General features: G+C 35.6%; 1 protein-coding gene across 6 annotated transcripts in view, besides 1 other annotated feature; it reads right to left on the bottom strand.

The window, feature by feature from the left end:
- LRRC7 (leucine rich repeat containing 7) overlaps positions 1-13,231 on the bottom strand; it is a 576,443-nt gene that overhangs the window by 69,098 nt on the left and 494,114 nt on the right. The window lies entirely within an intron of this gene.
- Positions 5,760-5,968: a silencer, noted in NCBI's record as "fragment chr1:70534982-70535190 (GRCh37/hg19 assembly coordinates)". NCBI's record gives its function as "represses an EF-1alpha promoter that drives an FKBP-Casp9 reporter gene in an ReSE screen in phorbol 12-myristate 13-acetate-treated (for megakaryocytic differentiation) K562 erythroleukemia cells {active_cell/tissue: K562(+PMA)}" and the evidence as "EXISTENCE:reporter gene assay evidence [ECO:0000049][PMID:32094911]".

Genomic DNA, 13,231 nt, shown 5'->3' with positions numbered 1-13,231 from the left:
TTCTACAAACCAAGCAAGCAGTTTTGTGTGTGAGCTGGTAAGCCAGAATATGCCTTTCTAAACTGAGAATGGTTTAACATGGAGGTCTAACATAGAAAATGAATGCTGATCATGAATAATTTTAAACATATATTTTAGTGCTGTGCTTAGTACTTCACCCATTGCTATTGAAAGACGTGGGGATTTATTTCCTGAATTCATTTTCTTTCCTCTTGATCTTTTAAGGATAGGTGACTTGAATTCAAAAGTGAATTTCACCTTTGAATTCATTAGCTAGGAAAGCTTGTGAAATGTCCTGACTAATCAAGATTTTTGATTACTATGAAAACGTTAGGTTGGAGTAATAAAAAGATAATTACTAAATAAGTATTCATGGAAGAGATTAAATTTAATTATTTTAAAGTTTTTAAAGAAGAGCAACATAAAAAACACTACAGTGATAATGAAAAATCATTTTCAGAGGAAAAATATATTGCTGGATTCCAAACAAGAGACAATTTCAAAAGAAAATATTAAAAATTATTATTTGGCAATATGTAAGGCAAAATAAACAACCATTTGATTATATTTTAGACGTCCAATTGACTGTCTTGGTATAATTTACAATTGTTTACATTTGAAAACAGTAAAGATATCTCAGACATGAGAAACGGGAGGAAAAGATGCAAAAAAGGGCTTCAGCCTATACCAGCACAATGTGAAATCAATTATCAATCCAACTCTGTCCAACGCATATCCAGTGATTACAGATCTATAACCTCATAAATACAACTAAGATAATCTCATAAAGGGCAAATCTGTATTTCTCTATTGTATCTATTCCTTTCTCAGAAATCTTAATGAAAGAAGATATTGCAGCCTTTTCAGCCATTCTAGAAGATTAAACACCCTTGTGGTCGAGTTTTTCCTTATTGCAAATTCAACTCTTGCTTGCTGCCATGGAATATCTTTTCTTTTTTTTCCAGAGGGTGTAAGTTGCATTGTGTTCTTTTGTTTGGAGGAGAGGGCATCCATGATAAGCTCAGTATCACATTTTGATCGGATGTATTTTTTTTTTTTTTTTGGCAATGGAGTCTTTTTTCTGTTGCCCAGGCTGGAGTGCAGTGGCACGATCTTGGTGCACTGCATCCTCCGTCTCCCAGGTCCAAGTGATTCTCCTGCCTCAGCCTCCCAAGTAGCTGGGATTACAGGCCTGCATCACCATGCCCAGCTAATTATTTGTATCTTTAGTAGAGACAGGGTTTCACCATGTTGGCCAGGTTGGTCTTGAACTCCTGACCTTAAGTGATCTACCGGCCTCAGCCTCTCAAAGTGCTGGGATTACAGGCTGGAGCCACAGTGCCTGGCCTGTGCCGCTGTATTCTGAATGAACTCACTGGCATGCCCAGTTACATAGCTAGAGAAAATGATTTCAGGAGTCAGAGGAGCCGGGGATGGAACTATCTGACTGAGGGTGACTGGCCTGGCTACTGACAAATCAATTGATTTTTAAGTTTATATCTGCTTCCACTGGCAGAATATTCATGGGTCTTCAGCCAGTGCTTGAACCAGCGGAAGTGACAACTGGCAGTTTAATTGAAAGTGATCATATAGATAAGCAAAGCATTTTTCCACCCAGACAAACTTAGAAGGATCCAGAACATAGCTTGGTTCCATGAAATATAATCTACATGAGAAAATTAATAACTGCTTATGGATTACTTTGTTGATTAGAGTATTGTAGTACTAGTCTATTCAAGGGTGAAAAGCTAATGCTATATATTGGAGAACTATAGTAGCCTTTGTTATTTGAATTGAGTTTTAATTTTTATTTTTAGAGACAGAGTCTTACTCTGTCGCCCGGGCTGGAGTACAGTGGTGTGATCACAGCTCACTGCAGCCTTGAACTCCCGGTGTAATAGCCTTCAGACTTACTTTTCAGGTATATTTTTTCTTCTGATAGGACAGGATGTGAGCTCAGGATTATGCTGATTTTGAACTCTTTAAGAGCAAGCATCATATTCCACTTACAGTTTTTAATGACTGACACAGTAACTGGCATTTAATAAATAATAGCTACCACCCAAACACTCAGTGTAAATGAGTGTTTACATTCAAAAAACACCATATACATATTACCTCTTTAAACTTCACAATAGTGTTAAAGAGGTAATTTTTATTATCCAATTTTGCTGAGGACAAAACTAAGGGTGGAAGAGGTTAAGTACATTTCCCAAGTAATACAACTGGTAACCTGACAGGACCATCATTTGAACCAAGTCTGTCTATCAAAGGTCATCCTTTTAAAGACTATATTATACTGCCACCCTTTCCCCGCAAATTGACACCCACCCTCATTAGTTGAACCATGAATTGAAAAGGAACCATGAAAAGGAACAAAAGGATCAAGTTGTTGAGAGGGGATATATTATTCAATTTCTTTAGCAGCTCTTTAATTTGCCAAAAGGCAATTCCCTACTTAGTGAATTAGGTCTATCATCTGTTTTAGATGCTGTGCATGTGACTTCGACCTTTACAGTTAAGCAAATAGGATGATGCTTTTGTATTTAGTAATCTATTAGTATGAAGTAATTAAGCTCATGCTCTTAGATGGCTTGGCAAAACAAACAATGGGCATGAAAAGAACATGCTGTAAAGTCATTCTGTTAGCAGCAGCAGCAGCAGCAGCAGCAGCAGCAGCAGCAGCAGTTTTTTGTCTCTCTTGGGCTATAGGCTGTGATGAATGATGTTGGGGAATGACAGCTGTAGAAAGCAAAGAATTACACAATTTTTTAAATAAAGTTAAACAAACATAAATGACAAGACATCTAGAGGGACAATAATGGTTCAGAAGGACTGTAAAGAGGAAGTTGTTTTTGACTGACACAAAGGCTTGAGAAAAGTAATGAGGATGTTCATGATGAAGTTCAAAGAACTGATGAAAATGTAGAAAATGTAAGAGACTAGACTTATTCATGCAGAGGGTTAGCTATGAGAACACTGACTCATACTGAAGGGGAATTTGAACATGAAGGTTTCTGTAAAGCCTGTGCTACACATTTTGAATAGTAAAAAGAAATAGAGAAAATTTGACATTTGTTTGGAACTTTCAAGGGGAGGTTGGTTGTAAAAAATAACATGTATTTGAGGAGAATAGTGATGGAGTATGTTGTTTTGAAGTTGACCCCCTAAAAAACTGTCAAAGTTTACAGGGAAAACTCTAATATCTATAAGACTCAAGAAAATATTTATGTCAAAAACCACAGAAAAGAATTGTTGATTTGATAGCAAACGGCACTGTTCACGCAAAATTCATCCCACAGCAAATCAGGCTTATTATGTGACAGTTGGAAGTATTTGGGAGGTTTTGTATAATATAAAAGACATGGCTTTATCACTGTAAAAATGATTTGGTTTACACTGGTCTTTTAAAAAAGAGTGTTAGACTAAGAAGTATATTATGTTACTCAATTTGGTCATCTGTTTTATTACCCATCTTGGCTCTTGAACCACCTGGGCTTGCTTCCAAAAATCAAACACCGCCTTAAAAGATTACAATTTACGCCACTGAGAATGTTCAAAAGAACACAATTCATTCCCTAAAATTAAATCCAAAAGAGTTCTTAAAATGTCTGGAAGCAGAATCATCTCCAAAGGATAACTTACTTACTGATTTTGAGGAATTAGCACTTGTATGAATAAGTCAGTATCAGTAATTTTATAAAACAACAATAACAACAAAAACCCAGTCCTATTACTTTCTACTCACATCATGTTTTCTGTGGCACCCCAACTTTTTTTTTTAATGCAGGTTAGTTGTTAAAAATTAGGCCAGTGGGACACCTGCTTCCAGGTAGATGGGGTAGATGTATTTTGCCCTATTTCTTCCATTAAGTACAACTAAAAAACCTTGGGCATTACACATAAATAAATGCAAGAAGACTATGAATAATAAAGAGAAGGCAGACTAGCTAGGGACCTGGGGAACAAGTCACAGCATGGTGGTAAGTTCTCTGGGCTTATTTTTGTGTCATATATCACAGACTTGGAGCTGAAGAAGCAGACAATCTGAAAATGCCAATAGGTATAAACAATGCTTCAACAAAAGCCTACTCTCTCTAACCAATGGATAGGAAAGATGCTGTCTAACAAGACAGAATGCTTTTAGACAATAACTCCTCCACTACAGCTGAATACCATAAAAAAAACTGTAGCCCCACCCCAAACAATGCCAGCAAAAGCCAAGTGTTGAGCCCAGACTTCTACCCTTGTGAGGATGTCACAAGGCATACAAACACTTCTGCTAGAGTGGTGTTAGAGAAGGCAAGTAGGTGCACAGCATTCATTCCCATCAACTAGTAATAAGCCCCTCTTCTCCAGTGGTGTCAGTGGTGACCACACAAGGAGCTTGGACTTCCAGTCCTACCCAGCAGTAATGAAGCACCGTTTACCTTACTAACGAGGTGGTGTCAGAGAAGGCCTAGTAGAGAGTCAAGACTTTCCCCATCATCCAGTGGTAATGATGCTACCCCCACCAAGTGGAGACCATGTGGGGAGATGAAACTTCCATCCTCACTTAGCAATGATGAGAAGCCTTTACCTCAACTGTCACTGGAAGCTGAATTGGAAAATTGGATTTCTACCTTTACCTGGCCATAACAATGCAGCACCCCACCCTTCCCCAACTGGAGTGGTGTCAGAGAAAGGCAGCTAAAACAGAAGCTTTAAGTAAGATACAGAGTTTTATAACATAATATAAAAGTGCCCAAGTTTTAATTAAAAAATCACTCATCATACCAAGAATCAGGAAGATCTCAAACCAAATAAAAAAAGACAATCAATAGATGCTCATACTGAGAGGACAAAGATGTTAGAATTATCATACTTTTAAGGCAGCACTTAAAAATGCTTCCATGATCAATTACGCACACACACTTGAAACAAATGAAAAACTAGAAATCGTCAGCAAAGAAATATAAAGTCTCAGCAAAGATCCCGGGCATTGTAGCTCAACCCTATAACCCCAGCACTTTGGGAAGCCGAGGCAGGTGGGTCAGTTGAGGCCAGGAGTTCAAGACCAGCCTGGGCAACACGGCGAAACGCTGTCTTTTTAAGAAATACAAAAAATTAGCCAGGTGTGGTGATGCGTGCCTGTAGTCCCAGTTACTCGGGAGGCTGAGGTGGGAGGATCACCTGAGCTCAGGAGGTCCAGGCTGCAATGAGCTCTGATCACATCACTGCACTCTAGCCTGGAAGACAGAGTGAGACCATGTCAATAAAAAATATATAAAATTTTTAAAAAGTCTCAGCAAAGAAACAGAAGATATAAAGAAGAAACAAATGGAGATTTTAGAGCTGAAAAATACAATAACAAATCAAAAACTCAGTCAGTGAATAGGTTTAACAGCAGACTGTAGAAAACAGAGGAAAGAAACAGTGACCTGGTAGACAGGACAATATAAATTATTCAATCTGAATAACAGAGAGAAAACACATTGACAAAAATATGAGCAGAGTCTTAGGGACCTGTGGGACTATACAAAAGTTCTAATAATCATGTTATCATGAGGAGAAGAGAAAGGGGTTGGGGCTGAAAAATTACATGATAAAATAATGGCTTAAAAATTCTGAAATTTGGTGAGGAGAAATAAACTTACAGATTCAAGAAGCAAGAATTCAAGAAGCAAGCAAGAAGGAAATTCAAGAAGCAAGCAAGAAGGAGATTCAAGAAGCAAGAGTTCCACATAGAACAAACCCAAGGAAATCTATGAATAGACTCTGATAAAGTTTGGCTGTGTCCCCACCCAAAATCTCATCTTGAATTGTAATCCTCATAATCCATATAATCCCCACATGTCAAGGGCGGGACCAGGTGGAGGTAATTGGATCATGGGGGCAGTTTCTCCTACGCTGTTCTCATGATAGTGAGTGGATATCATGAGATCTGATGGGTTTATAAGCATCTGGCATTTCCCCTGCTTGCACTCACTCTGTCCTGCCACCCTTTGAAGAAGGTGTCTGCTTCTCCTTTGCCTTCCGCCATGATTGTAAGTTTCCTGAGGCCTCCCTAGCAATGTGGAACTGAGTCAATTAAATCTCCTTCCTTTATAAATTACCCAGTGTTGGGTATTTCTTCATAGCAGTGTGAGAATGCACTAATACAGACACACTATAATTAAACTTCTGAAAACTAAAGCAAACTACCACAACTCATCCAATATAAAATATAGATAACTTGAACAGCCCTACAACTATCAAGAAATAAAACCTGTAATTTAAAGCTCCCAGGAAAAAAATATCCAGGCCCAGATGGTTTCACTGGACATTTCTACCGAATATTTAAATAAGAATTCTCCAACTTGGGCAAAACAGTAAGACTCCATCTCTAAAATTTTAAAATAAAATATTAGCCACTGTGGTGGTGCACACCTGCAGTCTTAGCTACTCGAGAGGCTGAGGTAGGAGGATCATTGAGCCCAGGAGTTCAAGGGTACAGTGAGCTATGATTGTACTACTGCAATCCTGCCTAGGCAACAGAATGAGACTGTTTCAAAAAAAGAAAAAAGAAAAATTCATACCAATTCTACACAATCGCTTTCAGAAAACAGAAGAGAGAATACTTCTTTATTTTATGAAACGAATATTACCCTGATACCAAAAAAATAAAAAAACAAAACAAACAAATAAAGGAAGAAAGAAACAGAGGAAGGAAGTAGGGAAGAAAAAAACCACTATAAACCAATATCCATCATGAATATAGATGCACAAATCCTTAATAAAATATTGGCAATGAAAATTTAGCAATATATAAAAAGAATGATATACCATGACCAAGAGATGTTTATTCTAGTGATACAAAGCTTGTTCAATATTTGAAAATCAATCAGTGTAATGCACCATATGAATGGGCTACAGAAGAAAAATCGTGATCATATCAATGGAAGCAGAAGAAGTATTTGACAAAATTCAACATCCATTCATGATGAAAGTGTTCAGAGAAATAGGAATAGAGGGAAACTTCCTCTACTCAATAAAGAACATCTACAAAAATGTATAGCTAATATACTTAATGGGAAAAAACCAAATGCTTTACCACTAAGATCAGGAGCAGACGTAAATGTACACTCTCACTACTCTTATTCAGCATAGTGCTGAAAGTTGTAGTCAGTGAAATAATGGAAGAAAAGGAAGTAAAATGCATGAAGATTGAAAAGAAAAAAGAAGCTGTTCTTATTTACGATGACACTGTCTAGATAGAAAATTCAAAAGAATCAACAACCAAAAAATCTAAAACTAATGAGTGAGTTTAGCAAGGTCATGGGATACAAGATAAACATACACAAATCAAGTGTATTTATGTATGCTAGCAATGAACACATGGACACCAAAATTTAAAATGCAATACCATGTATAATCATTCAAAAAATGCAATACTTAGGTACAAATTAAGCAAAGCTTGTATAAAACTTATAAGCTGAAAACTATACTTACATGCTGATGAAGATATCCAAGAAGATTTAAATAAGTGGAGAGACAGACTATACTTATGGAATGAAAGACTTAAAAAGTAAAGATCCTCTCCAAATTGATATACCAGTTTAATTCTTATCAAAATTCTAGCAAGATTTATCTCTAAATACATATGATTATCCTAAAATTCAGAAAGACAATGAATCTAGAATAGCTAAAACAAGTTTGGAAAAGAAGTATAGAGTGAGAGGAATCAGTCTATCTGATTTGAAGTTTATTAGAGTTGTAATCAAGAAAGACCATGTGTTACTGTATTTGCAGAGGGATAGACACATAGACTAATGAAATAGAGCAGAGAACTGATAAATAGATTGACAAAAATATGTCCAAATGATTTGAGACAAAGATGCAAATGCAATTTAATGTAGGAAAGAATCTTTGCAACAGATGGTGCTGGCCCAGTTTGACATCCACAAGCACAATAAATGAACTTTGACTTATGTCTCAAATCTTATATCAAAATTAACTCAAAATAGATCACAGACTTAAATGTTAAATGCTAAAAGAATGAAAAAAAAGTCAAGCTACAGAGTTGGAGAAAATGTTTGTAAATCATGTATCTGATAGAGGATAGTACCTAGAATATATAAAGAACTCTCAACTCTCAAGCTCAATGGTAAAAAGCTAAACAATCCATTTAGAACATGGGCAAAAGATGCGAAGAGACATTTTACCAAAGAGGATATACAGATGGAGGCAAATAAGTACATAAAAAGATGTTCAACGTTATTAGTCATTATGGAAATTGAAATTAAAACCACAATGTTTGCATAATTCACCTCATAATCTGAGTTAATTTTCAGTAAGTGTATATATCACTACACACCTAACAGAATGACTAAGACAAAACACAGTGCCAACACCAAATGCAGGAGATGATGAAGAAAAACTAAATTACTCACATATTGCTGCTGGCAATGTCAAATGGTAGAGCCACTCTGGAAAAATGTTTGGTAGTTTCTTTACAAATTGAACATGCAAGTACCATATGATCCAGCAGTTGTATTCCTGGACATTCATCCCAGAGACTTATGAAGACTTAGGTTCACACAAAAAGGTGCGCACAGATGTTTATAGCAATTTTCTTCATAGTAGCCATAGATGGAAAATAACCCAGATATCCTTCCATAGGTAAATGATAAACGAACTGTGATATATCCATACTATGGAATACTATGCAGCAATAAAAAGGAAAGAACTATTGATACATACAACACCTGAATGAATCTCCAGAGAAGTATGCTGGAAAAGCCAATCCCAAAAGGTTACATACATACAGACCCTATTTACATAGCATTCTTGAAATGGCAAAATTAAATAAATGAAGGGGGTTATAGAAATGCCAGGAGTTAATTAAAAAATAATTATACATGCAGTACAGATAACATAGTCTTTGGAGTCAAATGAACCTGAGTTTTATTCCTTGCTTTGTCACTTTTTAGTTATGCAATCTTATGCAAGGTACCTAAGATTTCTGCTTATCAGATGAAAATGCAGATATAATAATTAGTGCTTAAGAGAAAGTGGTGAAGATTAAAGAAGATAATGCAATACACTGAGTGTATTGCTGGAGATATAGCACTCTAATGGCAATGAGAACAAAAGTTCCTATCTGCAGAGTGAAGGTCTAACTGTCTGGCCATAGCAATAAATAACCACTGGAAAAAAATGATTTTAAACCTGTTGTAATCAATCAGTAACAACTTGCTTTAGAAACTGCACTTGAAGGTCAACCAGTCAGCAACAGTCTGAGTCAAGTAACCATGCTTCTCCCAATGAAAGTTTTGCCAACTAACTCCTAAATATTCTAACTTCTGAACATCCACCAGTCACTCAACTCCTTGCTTCTTCAAATCCTATTTAGCTCAGAGTGGTTGTACCTTGCAAGTTATTTGTATGCAAGCAGTAAATTATGCATTTTGTTTCAGATGTTGAGATGTGGCCTCTTTTATGGATGGGGACAGAATATACAATAACGGACTAAATACATTCTGCCATAAGTCAAGATGATACTACTTACTCTGCACTATTAACATGACTAATATTTTAGGTTGCTGTGATTCATCTTTGTTTTTTCACCCCTAGATATTTCCATCCCCATCATTGTATATGTTTTTAATACAACCATCTAGGTAAAGAGAGGAGTCTGTATTCATGGATAACTAATTCAAAGAGATGCTAACTCATGACTTTGGTCTCATTAACAACCTATTGTTAGGAACAAAGCTAAATGAAAGTTAGCTTATCCATAATTCACATAGATTTTTATCCAAAATAATAAATATTATGATAGCTACCATTAATTAAACACTTACATAACAGGCACTGTGATAAGTATTTTACATCATAATCATGGTTAATTTTCAAAGCCACTCTATAAGATAAGCATCATCATCCTTTCCTCTTAGATGGGAAAACTGAGAAGCAAAGTTTAATATGCTCAAGGGCCAATAAAGACAAAGTTAAGGTGAACATTTCTCCTGAACTTTTGCTTAAAAGGAAACAAAAGACAAGATCTTAGTAAGAACTAAAAGAAAAGCTGAGTTTTTTTCGTATTACAGTTTACTACATAGTTTAGTGTATCACCTATGCAAGGTACCCTGTATTAGTGTAATTATCATTTTGCTGGACGTGTCAATATTCAGTGCAGTTGTATCATTTTCACAGGTAGTTTTGGTGACAGGACTCAGGTTATTTTGTGGAAAACGGTGACAGCATCAACCAAGAAGGGTTAACAGAAATTGCAGAGAATATACTCAAGAAGTTTGATGTACTATGTTATTGAGAAACAAAATTAACAAAATGAACTAAATTCAATATGAAGAAAAGGCCTCTAGTGCTTAAGAGAACTTTTAAAGTTTAAGTTGTGCTTAGTGCTCCTAATTCTTTTTGTTCTGAGATTCACAAAGGTCACTAAAGAACTTGTAAATGTTTCATATTAAAGAACATGAAGGTTTGGAAAACAGATGCATTTCAAAATCTCTAAAAATTTTGATTTGCATAGACCAATAAAAACAAATTGAAGAGGACTAAAAAATTCTTTAAAAAATGTGACTAGTGCATGAGTTTCTCTCTTTTGAAAATGTAACAACAACAACAACAACAACAACAACAACAAAATACCAAGCAGTGCCAAAAAGTACTAGCTATATATATATCAAATATATTCCTGGTGTTGAGGTTATTTAACAGTGCAATGGGCTATGCTATAATGTTTTCTGATTTTTTTTGTTGGGAGGGGTGTGTGTGATAAAATATATGAGGGGAATAATTAGTGGGTAGAGTAGGCTGTATACCCAGACAACACTGGATTCCAATCCTGTATCGCTCAATTTCATACCTCTAACTCCTGGTCCCATAAAGTTGTGAAGATGATATGAGAGTGTTTTGCAAGGTAAGCATCTTAGTACAGTGCCTACTGTATGTACTGTAGATATTCTTTTTCTGATTATAACAACCTATTAAGCTGAACCTTTTCATCCTGTTTTATTTGTATTTAGGCCAGCTTGATGCCAAAATCTATGTTCTCCCATTTCAGTGTCAGAAGACAAACTTGCACAAATATATGGAAGGAAGCTCTGCAGCTAAAAATAAAGGGGGCAGGAAGATGTTCCTTCTCCTGTCCTGGGGTTTTGGTGACATTTCATTCTGGTGGCACACTGCAGTAATTTTAGAGGGCATTCAAAATATTTGCTGACCTTGAATTTTTTGGAGTCAGATACTGGTAATATACTTCAGTGTCTCCAATGACACATAAAAAGTGAGGTGGTAGAACCTTTCACTTCAGTGTAAGTGTCTTAGCATAGCAGCTGGCTGATATACAAAGGCAGTCATCTCTGGCATATTGAATCTCTATAAGTACATTCTCCTATGATTAAATGTCAACCAACAAAACATAGCTATGGATTTAGGAAATTATTAGCCAAAATTAAAAAACGATGGAGTATCCTTAATAGCAGAATGATGAAACTGAGGATGAGTCTACACTTTTCAACCTATGGTTTGTTTTGTGATGATGCTGACATATATTCCCAAAATGGAAGATGTTAAGAGTAACGATAAAAGTTTGACAACAATTTATTTCACCCTTAAGATTTCTAAGAACCTACAGCTAGTAGAGTAAGTCAGACAAAGATCAAGTGGCAAGAAATGGAATCTTATCATTTTGACATCTCTATCTGGCAACTATCCTTGATCTCTGCCAGCTGTCATGTTATGTAGAACTTCAAGTTAACAGTGAAGAACCCCCAGGAGTTATGTCTTTACTTCATTGGTCCATAAGCAAATGAGAACAATCTTCTCCATCACTGGGAGTAATACCAGTCTCAATCATCACTTCTCATCACATATTCAACCCGGAACATTTTTATGGCATTGGATTAATTCTGCATTTTTGCTTTTAGATTTCTCCCCAAACAAAGACAATATAAATGCTATTGAGTTATCTCAATTTTCTGAAGAACAGTCATTTGTTTTAAGGAACATCTATGTCAAATATTGATGGAGTAAGTACTTTAATCTGCCCGTTTTCCTATTGCTTAATCTGTGGCAAATTTATTTTCTACCTCTGACTTGATAGCTTTTTGACAGACATTTTTGGCTTTACACTTTTATTAAGGAAATAATTTAGAGTGAGACTGGATGAGGACAATCCCCGATTTTGTGACAGTGATGTCCTTCAATACTGCAGACAGTTGTATTGTTGTACTGGTATTAGGAAATAAAGGTATGCTTTGTGAGTTAAAGAATAATGTTGTCTTAAGAAAAATCCAATACAAAAGTGACTGTAAATTAAACAATATTTTATTCAGCTGTCATTTTTGCTTTAGGTTAGAGATTTTTTTTCCATTCACATTTTCACAACCTCCTATCCCCATTATTTCTGAGAACAAATCTAATAACAATAGAAATAGAGTAAGCTTTAAAAACACCTATGAATTAAATAATACTAAAATCAATCAATTAGAAATATATTATCCTAGCTCTTCAGATTAACAAAATACATATTTGAAATGGATCATTAAATAAATTATTTCATTGATTTTTTCAAACCCTTTTTCCTGATTCAGCTTCTATTACTAAGTCATGGAGCTGCCTCTGAAAGGTCTTATTTCCATGGAATTTTTGATTTCCTCCAGGTCATGTACTTTGGTTTATTTGGCATTGGCTGATAATTCTTAACAAGCAAGTCTACATATGTATATACCATCTCTATCTTATATCAATAATTTGCAGTTAGGGGGACAGTAACTGTAATTGGACGTATTTAGTCTTATTTTCCCAAGTATAGCAAAAGGCATGGCTCTATTGATTTTCTGGAAAAAAATAATATGATAATATATAAATTAGCATATGTTTTAAAAGAGTATATGGAATTCACCTGAATAAGATTACTGGCAAAGTTACGTAAAAGGAGTGCAACTTGATTTGAGCCTGCAGATATTCATATAATTGTTCTTTGGATTGTTCTGCACAATACAATTTTTACAACCTCAACAGTGCATTTTTATTCTGTTCCAGAGCAATAACTAATGTTACTGCCATAAAGACCATACCAAAACAAGTTTAGTAGGGATACAGGCATAGATTTGATAGGCAGGGAAAGTAAAGGGGTGTCTTAATATATCACTAATATATCACTAAATATAAGCATCAGAAATCTCAAAAGCCTCCTATTGGTGTTTGGTAGGTGCCTGACAATGTTGTCAGTAAATGACCACTA

The sequence above is a fragment of the Homo sapiens genome, chromosome 1 (assembly GCF_000001405.40).
Source record: "Homo sapiens chromosome 1, GRCh38.p14 Primary Assembly".
Classification (NCBI taxonomy): Eukaryota; Metazoa; Chordata; class Mammalia; order Primates; family Hominidae; genus Homo; species Homo sapiens.
The sequence above is the reverse complement of the archived record's forward strand: the minus strand, read 5'-3'. Positions and strand labels throughout refer to the sequence as shown.